Source organism: Homo sapiens, chromosome 1, assembly GCF_000001405.40.
Source record: "Homo sapiens chromosome 1, GRCh38.p14 Primary Assembly".
Classification (NCBI taxonomy): Eukaryota; Metazoa; Chordata; class Mammalia; order Primates; family Hominidae; genus Homo; species Homo sapiens.
In genome coordinates, this window is record NC_000001.11 from 79134417 (window position 1) to 79147115 (window position 12699).

Here is a 12699-nt window from a genome sequence, read left to right on the forward strand (position 1 = left end):
GGCTTAAGCATTGTAATATTTTTATATACTTAAAATAGTACAAACACTAAATAACTATTTAATCTAAAAGTTACATTAGGATTATAGGTGGTAAAAAAATCCAGGACTGGAGTACTGGTGTAAGAGAATTAAATTGGCGGGGCACATTGGCTCACACCTGTAATCCCAGCACTTTGGGAGGCGGGGGCAGGTGGATTGCTTGAGGTCAGGAGTTCTAGAGCAGCCTGGCCAACATGGTGAAACCCCCATCTCTACTAAAAATACAAAATGTGGCCGGGCATGGACCTGTAGTCCTAGCTAGTCAGGGGGCTGAGGCAGGAGAATCTCTTGAACCTGGGAGGCAGAGGTTGCAGTGAGCCAAGATTGCACTACTGCACTCCAGCCTGGGAGACAGAGCAAGACTCCATCTCAAAAAAAAAAAAAAAAAAAAACAGAGAGAACTCAATTTATATCTACCCTAATAGTGTAGGAGTACTTTCCTTTGGGAAGCAGAGCAGAAGGCTGGGTGGAATGCGGCCAGAGCTGCTCCTATACATGAACCCTAAGCATATGTTACTTCAATAAAAATAACTTGGGTATGGAATATTTGAGTACAGGAACACATGTGTGATCTCCTCTCTGTGTGTTCATGAAGACTGCAAAATAAGTTTTCCATATCTTCCTTGTAGATGAACTTATTTAAAGCTTGTAATTCATTAGTGATGTACCCTTAGCCATGTCTATATATTACGTTGGTGCACAAGTAATTGCGGTTTTTGCCATTACTTTTAGTGCCAAAACTTCAATTAAGTTTGCACCACCCTAATACATAGAATTGTATAAAAGCACACGTCTAGAAAACATACACACACAAACACACACACACGCACACATACACATGTCATGCTCAGTGAAATGCCAGACAAAATTCAACAACCTTTGCTCAATCCCAGTTACCCTAAAAATTAACTATCAGGGCCAGGTGCAGTGGCTCATGCCTGTAATCTCAGCACTTTGGGAGGCCTAGGCGGATCATGAGGTCAGGAGTTGGAAACCAGCCTGACCAACATGGTGAAGCCCCTTGTCTACTAAAAATACAAAAATTAGCCAGGTGTGGTAGTGCATGCCTTTAATCCCAGCTCCTCAGGAGGCTGAGGCAGGAGGATCGCTTGAACCTGGGAGAGACAGAGGTTGCAGTGAGCCGAGATCGTGCCACTACACTCCAGCCTGCGTGACAGAGTGAGACTCCATCTCACAAAAAAAAAAAAAAAAAAAAAAATTAAGTATCAGTTAGCAAGCGTAAATGAGTAGAGACTTACAGCTGATTTCGATGGCAATTTTAGGTTTCTAGTGCTTGTATCTTTTGTATGTAGAGTAGGGAGGAGCAGTAGTTAAATAGTTATTTTTCAAATTGAAGTATATTTGTAGCACTTCAGCGTACAGTTTAGATGACTTTTGATAAACTGTATCCGGTACTCCCATCATGATATGGAAAATGTTCATTACACCAGAGAGTTCTCTCATGCCCTCTTCCAGTCAATCCTCAATCTTCCAAAGGCAAACGCTATTCTGATTTCTAAATATGTAGATATGCCTGATTTTGCATGTCATATAAAAGGAATCATAAAATATAGCCTCTTTTACATCTAATTTCTTTTACTAGAGTAATGACCTTCGGGTTCATCCACATTGTTGGGTGTAAAACGCAAATTTTGTGCTCTGATTCCCCTTAGAGGAAAGAACTCACTGCCAAGCTGCAAGAATTGTGGTTAGCTGTGTTGCACTTCAGGATGCCTCTAGCCAATGACTGAGCAAAGTCTTGGTATAAGAGTCTCAACATTTATACCCACTGCAAGGCCCCTCTTATGGTTAATCTTTGACTGAATCTCCCCACTGGACTGGCAGAGACCTTCAGCACTGCATGACAGCAAGAGGTGTCCTGATCAGTCATATTTTCTCTCTTCTCTTTCTTCAGGTATTACTCTCTGTCTTAATTCATTTTGAGCTTCTATAGAAGAATAGGTAATTTAAAAAGAACAGAAATGTATTTCTAGGCTGGGAAGTCTATGATCAAGCTACTGGTATCAGTGCGGGCCTTCTTACTGCATCCTTACATGGCAGAAGGTGCAAGTAAAGAGAGAGAAAACCCACTTATGCAAGCCCATTTTAGAGTGGCATTATTCCATCATGAAGGCAGATCCCTTCACTACCTAAATATCTCCTGTTAGTCCCACCTCCCATGCATTGAGGATTAAGTTTTCAACACACTAATTTGAGGGGACACATTCAGATCATAGCCATACATTTCTGTAGCCCTACTTCTTTAGTATTTGCTTCCTGGCAGACTTAAACTATGACATAAGATGATTTGATAGTTCATTCTATTTTGTTAAGACTAGTGATTGCAATTGCAAGAATATGTCAGCATTCTTTCCATTCTCTTGGAACTTGGAGCTATTTGCAATATTTGTCTATTATGAATATAGCTACTCTAAACATTCTAGTTTATGTGTTTTTATGTATTTATTTTTTATGAATTATTTGTTGTAGAGATGGGATCTCATTATGTCACTTAGGCTAGTCTTGAACTCCTGGCCTCAAGCAATCCTCCCACTTTGTCCTCCCAAAGTTCTAGGGCTACGGCCTGAGCCACCATATACAGACTTACAGTTGTATATTTTCATTACATTGGGAATCAAAAAGCTGGGCCGTGGTGTGAGCCATCACATCCAGGCTCACAGACTTATATTTCCATTGCTTTAGGAATTGAAACACTGGGCCATAGGGTAGTTGTACATTAATTTCATGAGAAATTGTCAATTTTCCAAAGTACTTGCATCATTTTATGTTTTCATCAACAATATGGGAATGCCCAAGTTGCACTATATCCTCATTAAATTGGTTTTGAGAGTTTAAATTTTAGCTTTTTTTTTTTTTTTTTTTTTTGAGAGACAGAGCCTCGCTCTGTTGCTGAGGCTGGAGTGCAGTGGCGTGATCTCAGCTCACTGCAACCTCCACCTCACAGGTTCAAGTGATTCCTTGCCTCAGCTTCCCAAGTAGCTGGGACTACCGGTGCACACCACCATGTCCAGCTAATTTTTGTATTTTTTATTAGAGACAGGGTTTCACTATATGTTGGCCAGGCTGGTCTCAAACTCCTGACCTCAAGTGATCCGCCCACCTCGGCGTCCCAAAATGCTGGGATTACAGGTGTGAGCCACCATGCCCGGCCTAAATTATAGCTATTTTAGAATGTTGAAAGTAGTATTATGTGATTTCAGTTTGCCATAAATTTTTCATATGGTTACTAATTATTTCTTTTTTGTGATATATCTTCTGAAATCTATTGAGTTGTTTGTCTTTAGCATTGATTTGTATTTTGTTTGAATTGTAAGAACTTATATATTGTTGCAGGAAGTCAGGGACCCGAACGGAGGGACCAGCTGAAGCCACAGCAGAACATAAATTGTGAAGATTTCTTGGACATTTATCACTTCCCCAATCAATACTCTTATAATTTCCTATGCCTGCCTTTACTTTAATCTCTTAATCCTGTCATCTTTATAAGCTGAGGATGTATGTCCCCTCAGGACCCTGTGATGATTGCGTTAACTGCACAAATTGTTCGTAAAGCATGTGTGTTTGAACAATATGAAATCTGGGCACCTTGAAAAAAGAACAGGATAACAGCAACGTTCAGGGAACAAGGGAGATAACCATTAGGTCTGACTGCCTGGGAGCCAGGCAGGACAGAGCCGTATTTCTCTTATTGCCGAAAATGGGCAAGAGAAATATTGCTGAATTCTTTCTCCAGTAAGGAATATTAATAATTAACAGCCCGGGGAAGAGAATGCATTCCTGGGGGGACCTCTAAAATGGCCACTCTGGGGGTGTCTGCCTTATGCAGTTGCAGATAAGGGATGAAACACGCCCTGGCCTCCTGCAGCACCCCCAGGCTTGCTAGGATTAGGAAATTCCAGCCTGGCTAATTCTAGTCAGACCCGTTCCCTGCTCTTGAATCCTGTTAAGATGTTAATCATTGACAATGGGTGCACAGCAGGACATGGAACTTCATTAGTAATTCTACTTTTGCCCTGACTTTGTGATCTCACCCTGACCTTCTGCCTTGTGATCTTTTGTTGCCCTTGAAGCATGTGATCTCTGTGACCCACACCCTATTCGTACACTCCCTCCCCTTTGAAAATTGCTAATAAAAACTTGCTGGTTTTACCGCTCAGGGGGCATCACGGAACCTGCTGACATATGATGTCTCCCCCAGACACCCAGCTTTAAAATTTCTCTCTTTTGTACTCTTTCCCTTTATTTCTCAGACCGGGGCAAGACAACAGTTAGGGAAAATAGAAAAGAACCTATGTTGAAATACAGGGGGCTGGTTCCCCCGATAATATATATTTTGCATATAAATATTTTGAAGATACATGTGCATTGTAAGTATTGTCTCCCAGTAGCTTGCTTACTCATTTTTCAATGATGTTTTTTCCTAAAATTTTTTAAATGCTGAAAATATTTTTATCCTGTTTTCTTTCATGATTATTGCTTTTGTCATCCTATTTAAGAAATTTTTGCTGACCACCAGTTGCAAAATATTTTTTTCTAAAAGCTTCATAGTTTTAGCTTTAATGTTTAAGTTTACGAACGCTCTCAAATTGATTTTTGTTTATGATATGAGGGGGTGTCTTGATGTATTTTCTCTATACATTTATCCAGTTGCTCCAGCAACATTTGTTGAAAAGATTTCTTTTTCTTTGATGACTTGCTTTGGCACATTTGCCAAAAATCAAGTGCATTGTTCTGTTTTTAGAATGTGCATGTTTTTTTGACCCACTTGCCTATCCTTAAACCCATAGCACACTGGCTTATCCCTGTAACATTATAGCAAGTCTTGAAATCAGAAACTGTTAGTCTTTCAACTGTATTTTTCATTCCAAAAATATTTTGCTATTCTAGGTCAATTGCATTTTTTATAAATTATAAAATCAGCTTGTTAATTTCTACAAAGAAATGGATATTGATTAGGATTGCTTTAAAATATGGATTAAATTAGAAAAAAAGTAAAATCTTAATCATATTGCATTTTCCAGTTCATGACTATGGAATATCTATTAATTTAGGTTTCTAATTTATCTAAATGGCATTTTGTAGTTTTAATTTCAGATATCTTCCCTGTATTTTGTTAAATTTATTCCTACATATTTTATGATTTTGATGCTACTGAAAATAGTATTTCTTAAATTTCAGTTTTTAAATTTATGCCACAAGTATATGGAAATATAATTGTTGTTGGAATATTGCCCTGCTAAATTTGCTTTTCATTTGTAGCCACTTCATTGTAGTTTCCCATAATTTTACATGCAAAATAGTGTCAGGTTATCTGTTAATAAACTGAGTTTATTTCCAGTGCATTGTTGAATAATAGTGTGACAGTGGGCATTCTTGCTTGGTACCTATTCTTAGAATATTTCAATTATGGTGTCAACTGAACTTTGCAAGACTGCCTTTATCATAGAGGGATAGTGTGTACTTTGGTGAGAGCTTTTTAAAATTAAAAAATAGGATGTTAAATTTTACTGGATGTATTTCTTTCTAATAACAGCTTTGTTGAGATTAGAATTCACTGCCCCAGCTCCAGTACAACACAAACAGAAGAAACTAGATATCATTATCTTGTTCCTGAAATCAGAGGGAAAGCATCCAGTCTTTCACCATTATGTGTTATGTTAGTGTGGGTTGTTTTGTAGGTGTCCTTTAACAGATTGAAATAGTTCCTTTCAATCGTAAGTTTGCTAAGGATGTTTATCATGAAAGATGTTAGATATGTCAAATGCTTTTCTATGTCTATTGAGATGATTATGCAGTTTTTGTCTTTCATTCTACTCACCTGATGTATTATATTAATTGATTTCGGATGAGGAGTCTATCTTGCATTCCTGGTACAAAGCCTACTTGTTTATGGTCCATATTTGTTTTTATATGTCGCTGGATTTGGTTTGCAATATTTTGTTGAGGGCTTTTATGTTATTCATAAAGAGATGTAAGTCTATCTCCCTATGAGATATTATCATGATATATATATTTATATTTCCTTATGAGATATTCACATACATAAGAGATATAGCAGTTTTCTTTCCTTGTGATGTCTGTCTGATTTTTGTATCAGGGTCATACTCATAGAATGAGTTGAGAAGAATTCTGCCCTCTTATATTTCTTGGAGGAGTTGATAAAAGTTGGTATTGGTTCTTTAAATGTTTAATAGATTGTACCAATGAAGTTGTCCACACTTGAACTCTTATTTGCGGAAAGTTTAAAAATTACTAATTTAATCTTTTTATCTGTCGTAGCTTCATTCGAATTTTCAGAGGATGATCCCGAGGTTAGAGAGAAAGTAGTTTATTGACAGGTAACCCCAGAAATCACTTGTGGAGGCTATAGAAGGAGAAAAAAAATGTGTGTTAATGAGTTGGTTATCACTGCAGTCTATTAGGGCTCAGTCTTTCTAGGAAATTTTGGAAGACAGAATAGAAAAATTCCCAGTATTACCATATCTAAGGCATGAGGATGCTGCAGAATTTATCCTGAAACTCTTATGTGTTATTTGCTAAACTCTTTTGTGTTATTAATGCTAATGTTGGTGGCATTAATTTGGGGGTATTTCCAGCTTGCTCTACAGAAGAGATTTGAGAAAGTCCTAAGGCTGGGAATTGACAGTGGACACCATTTGCAAGACTGGAAAGTGAAGGACAGAAGGGATATGGGTAGTGCACCAACAGTGTCTGCTCTATGCTCCAACGCACAGTATTTATACCATAGTTCCATTACATTCTGATTTTCAATATAGATTGTTATCTACAAGTCTATTGCCACCAAACTATATGTTTCTTGAATGTTTTAAGCTTTGTATCTTAAACATTTCTCATATCTAATACTTTCTTTCTATTTCTTTACTTTTATTTATTTATTTATTTATTTATTTTTTTTTTTGAGGCAGAGTCTTGCTCTGTCACCCAGGCTGGAGTGCAGCGGCGCGATCTCGCGATCTGGGCTCACTGCAAGCTCCGCCTCCAGGGTTCACGCTAGTCTCCTGCCTCAGCCTCCCAAGTAGCTGGGACTACAGGTGCCCGCCACCAGGCCCAGCTAATTTTTTTGTATTTTTAGTAGAGACGGGGTTTCACAGTGTTAGCCAGGATGGTCTCGATCTCCTGACCTCGCAATCTGCCTGCCTCAGCAACCATGTTGGCCACGATGGTCTTGGTCTCCTGACCTCGTGATCCGCCCGCCTGGGCCTCCCAAAGTGCTGTGATTACAAGTGTGAGCCACAGCGCCCAGACCTTCTTTCTATTTCTAAGGCTACTGTACTAGGTATGGCTCATACAATAATCTTGACTGGATGATTACTTTAGCCTATCAACTTTTATTTCCTTTTTGCTTCTCAGATTCAGGGGAGAATACATAGACCTCACTCTGCCAATAGAAGAGTATCAAAGAATTTTCCAGTGATGTCTTTTTAACTGCTGTAAGGGGCACAGTCTGCCTATAGCAGATCATGTCCTCAAAGCCAACCTCCTCATTTCTGTAAAACAGTATTATTTTTAGTTTCAAAATTCTATAATCATTTTCCCACACCTATGCTCAAAATATTTCAAGGCTTCTAATCAGTACTGCATATGTAGCCCTTTATGATCTGGCCCCTGCCTGTCTGTCTAGCTCATTTTGGTCTTTCCTCCATGTACCTACACTCAATAATACTGAGCCACTTATAATCCTTATAACGTTAGCACCTTTTAATCACTTTTCTTTGTCTTTTAATACACACTAGCTTTTGCTCAAATAAAAATGTTTTAATGCCAATTTAATACCAATTAACTAAGATGTAATTTTAGTTTGCATATTTGCCCATACACTAGACTGAGCTCCTTGAAGATAGAAACTATGGTCTTTTAATAATATTCTATTCCCAGTAGCAAGTGTAGGCCTAACACGTGGTAAATTATCAATAAAATATATGAAACTACTGAAAGCATATACTTATTTTATTTGTATTTGCTACAACTACAGTACCTAGCATGGCAGTTTACACACACACACACACCCACACACGATGTGTTAAGCTGATATTTATTATTTCCTGAAGTATTATCATAATTCTCTAGTTGCTCTTAAAGTCAGAGAGGGTAAAGGGTACAAGGGAAAAGAGTAATTGAAAAGATGCAACCTTTCAAAAGAACAAAATGTATCTTGTGTTCAAACTAAGTTCTGCTCTTTCCTATCTATGTGAACCAGAATAAGGTACTTACACCCTCTAAAATTCAGTTTCCACTTAAAGAAAGAGATAATCTGGATGGCTGCGGTGGCTCATGCCTCTAATCCCAGCACTTTGGGAGGCCAAGGCAGACAGACCAGTTGAGGCCAGGAGTTCAAGACCAGCCTGGCCAACATGGTAAAATCCCATCTCCACTAATATGCAAAAATTAGCCAGGGTCGTGGCGCACACCTGTGGTCCCAGCTACTTGGGAGGCAGAGGCAGCAGATTTGCTTGGACCCAAGAGGCAGAGGTTGAAGTGAGCCGAGATCATGAAGCTACACTCCAGCCTGGGCAACAGAGGAAGACACTGTCTCAAGAAACAAAAACAAAACCGAAAAAAGAAAAAAGAAAAGAAAACGAGATGAATCTATTTTCTAGAGGTATGATTGTAGGTACAAAAAAGGGGGGGGCAATACTTACTGGCCCTTTTTTAATTTGGGGAGCAACATATTCCTTATCTGGGTGTGTTACTCCAGCCCATTTACTAAGTGACCCAAAAAGCTGCTTGTTTCGAGTGAAGCTCAGATCAAGAGAAGGCTCTGCAACAGGTCCAGGCTGCTGTGTAAGCAGCTTTGCCTCTTGGGCCGTATAAACCAGCAGGTCCAATGGTGCTTGACATGTCAGTGGTAGCTAGGGATGCTGTTTCGAGGCTTTGGCAGGCCTTTATGGATTAACTGCAGTGCAGGCCCTTGGGATATTGAAGCAAGGTTCTGCCCTCCTCTGGAGATAACTGGTCCCCTTTTGAGCAACAGTTTTGCCCGGCTACTGGGCTTTATTAGAGACTGAACACTTAACCACGGGCCCACCAAGTTACCATGTGACCAGAGCTGTCCATCATTAATTGGGTTTAATCTGACAAACTAAGTCATAAAGTTGATTGTGCATAGTAGCACTCCATTATCAAATGTAAGTACTATATATGTGTTTTGGCACTGAAGGCACAGATAAGTTAGATGAAGTGGCTCAAATGCTCAGGGTCCCCATTCCTACCATACTACTTTCTCTCTCCTTTACATTAACTATTACATGTATAAGGTTTTGTATATTATAGGCATATGTATGAATTCTCTTGTCTTTCATAAACTTATGAGTTCCAATGACAGAAAGCAAGTATAGTTGATGGAAGTTACTTTGGAAGTCACTTAATATAATTTTCTCATTTGAGGTCCACAAAGTTGAAGTAGTCTTTGTAACCTGAAAAGAGTCTTAATATCAGATCTTCCATAGAAAAACAAAATAAAAAACAAGTTGACTATTTTTTGCACTATAAACCTGAATGTTTGTCTTATGAAAAAATGAGACAGAGAAAAACAAATCTGATAGGATGAATACATTATTAAAGTTCTTTTGTATGTCAGAAATTTTATAGACCATAATAAGTTAAATATTAAATCTGAATTATTTTTATATAACCTCAAAAATGATTTATGTGTAGTACACCAGATATTATGGAGTTGACCATGGAATTTTGCTAATGAATGATATTCGGTCAAGGACTAGAATCCTGTGATTCTGAAATGGTTGATTCACCATGAAATGAGAACAAGTCAAAAACCATCTGGAAAATGATGTGAAATATCTTATCTGTCCTCTGAGATAAAAAGAACTGGTCTTATACTAGGAAACTTCTTTCCTTCTGCTTTTAGGTAATGTTACAATCCGTCAAGGATTTCCTTACTTTTCTACACTTTTAGTAGGGAGGACATTTTCTAGAGCAGAAATATAAATTCAATATTCATGAGGCATATTATTGGTAAACTAAACTGGCATTCCTTGGAAGTAAAATATAATCTCTGTGAAGTTCGTGAAATGCTTCAGAAAACTTTTTGGTGATTTTCTTTTCAGACACTAAATATTTTATTAAATAAGTGAGATCCCTAAACAAATTTCCAAGAAAAAACCAAACAACCCCATTAAAAAGTGGGCAAAGGGTATGAACAGACACTTCCCAAAAGAAGACACACATGTGGCCAATAATCCTATGAAAAAAAATATCAACAATACTGATCATTGGAGAAATGCAAATCAAAACCACACTGGAGAAATGCAAATCAAAACCACCATCTCACACCAGTCAGAATGACTATTATTACAAAGTCAAAAAGGAACTGACACTGGCAAGGTTATGGAGAAAAAGTAATGCTTATACACTGTTCGTGGGAGGGTAAATTAGTTCAATCATTGTGGAAGACAGTGTGGTGATTCTTCAAAGACCTAATGACAGAAATGCCATTCGACCCACCAATCCCAGTACTGGGTATATACCCAAAGGACTATAAATCATTCTATTATAAAGACACATGCACTTGGATGTTCACTGCAGCACTATTCACAATAGCAAAGACATTGGATCAACCGAAATGTCCATCAATGATAGACCAAATAATGAAAATGTGATATATATACACCATGGAAACTATGCAGCCATAAAAAAAGAATGAGCTCATATCCTCTGCAGGGACATGGATGGAGCTGGAGGCCATTATCCTTAGCAAACTAATGCCAGAACAGAAAACCAAATACTGCATGTTCTCACTTATAAGTGGGAGCTAAATGATAAGAACACATGGACACATAGAAGACAACAACAGACACTGGGGCCTGTCAGAGGGTGGAGGTTGGGAGGAGGGTGAGGATGAGAAAAAAATAACTAATGGGTTCTAGGCCTAATACCTGGGTGATAAAATAATCTGCACAATAAACCTCCATGACACAAGTTTACCTATGTAACAAACCTGCACATATACCCCTAAACTTAAAATAATAAATAAAAAAAGAAAAAGAATAAAGAAGTTTGCTTAGAGAATGATTGTTAATTACACTCACTCCTGTGTCTCCTTTGAAATGTAAGATAGAGAGGATACAAACTTGAATTTCTCCAAATTCTGCAGATTTACTCTATTATTCCTAGTGTTTTATCATCAGCTATGTGGTAACACTATAACATTTCTCTTATTTATTATTATTTGGACACTTTTTGCTCTACAAGTAGAAAAAAGGAAATGGCAAATATATGTCTTAATTCTTCGTAATTGCTTTTTAATACTTATGTGTACAATACTTCAATGAAAGCTTTTTATGTGAAAATATGAGAAAGCTGGGTATAAGAAAGTTATTCTCATATTTCTTATTTGCAGAATGTCTTGTATTTCGGGATGATAAAATGAAATATAACTTGAACCTTTTCTTAGGTTTAATATACATAAAACAATAGTGACAATCACATCCTTTTTCCCTTTTGTCCCATTCAAGGAACTGGGGCATTGCGTAGAGACTTCTCTGTAGATGTTGGGCAGATCTGTGAGTGAGCTATGCATATTGTTCCTTTTCGGTAACATGTTCCCACTTCTGTTATGTTATCTTCTTGTTTATTAAGCATATTCAGTGAGCTTTGATAACAAAAATGTAGGCGATAAGGAGAAGAAATTTCCATGGTAATAATGTTTACATAAATATCTCAGCTTGTATGCTGCCTGTTGTCTATTGAATGTGTTTTCCATGCTTTCTTTAGATTGTTCCTTAGGTGGGAGTTGAATAAGTTCTAAAGTTATTATTATGTATGCATTGATGTATACATGAGGCTATTAACACAAAAATCTTTGACAGAACAAGCTTGTAATGACTTCCCTGAAGCTGTTATTTTGAACTGTCTCTGATTTTCCTCTTTTTGGTTGAACAAATCTTTTTAGGAAGAGTGTGTAACACAAATAGAGTTGGAAAACATTTAGATTTTGCCCCTTTGTAGGTTCATAGCAGCCAAACTATTTCATTTTAAAAACGTGAAAAAAAGAATGTTTCTCACTAAGAATATATGCCAAGTTTACACCATCATCACATATTTTATGGCTGATTTATGAACCTCTCAAAAAGGGTGAAAATGTTGACACATTAATAACTCTAGCGGAATGAGTTCTATATACTTCAAGAAAAACTACAAAAAAGAAACAAAGTGGACAATGACAATCTAAAGAAAAGGAAGTTTCTTAATAAAAGTAGAAGATACTTGGTTTTACATAAAGACTTTTACTTTCCATATTTTTTCAGTAAAATATAACTATGATTATTTTATCGAGTATTTAGTGTCATTTTATTTTTCCTTCCTCATTTGATATTAAATTTATTGAATTCAATTAAGTAGTTGAAATTATTCAATTTTCTTTATTCAATATTATTCTAATATTTTAATGCTGTTCAAACAAGTAAGCAATCTTTTTATGCCATTTAACATATTTCTTCTCTTTAATTTTATTTTGTTTTTTAAGTTCTGGGGTACATGTGCAGGATGTGCAGGTTTGTTACATAGGCAAATGTGTGCCGTGGTGGTTTGCTGTGCCTATCAACCCATTATCTAGGTATTAACATGGCATGCATTAGCTTCTTTTTCCCAATGCTCTCCCCC

The 12699-nt window shown here is 37.3% G+C and overlaps 1 long non-coding RNA gene across 1 annotated transcript in view, besides 1 other annotated feature; it reads right to left on the reverse strand.

The window, feature by feature from the left end:
• LOC107984998 (uncharacterized) overlaps positions 1-12699 on the reverse strand; it is a 67115-nt gene that overhangs the window by 13051 nt on the left and 41365 nt on the right. The gene's annotated exons all lie outside the window — the stretch shown is intronic.
• Positions 3758-4306: an enhancer, noted in NCBI's record as "OCT4-NANOG hESC enhancer chr1:79603859-79604407 (GRCh37/hg19 assembly coordinates)". NCBI's record gives its function as "activates a minimal SCP1, AML or CMV promoter by ChIP-STARR-seq in primed H9 embryonic stem cells {active_cell/tissue: H9 hESC(primed)}" and the evidence as "EXISTENCE:reporter gene assay evidence [ECO:0000049][PMID:30033119]".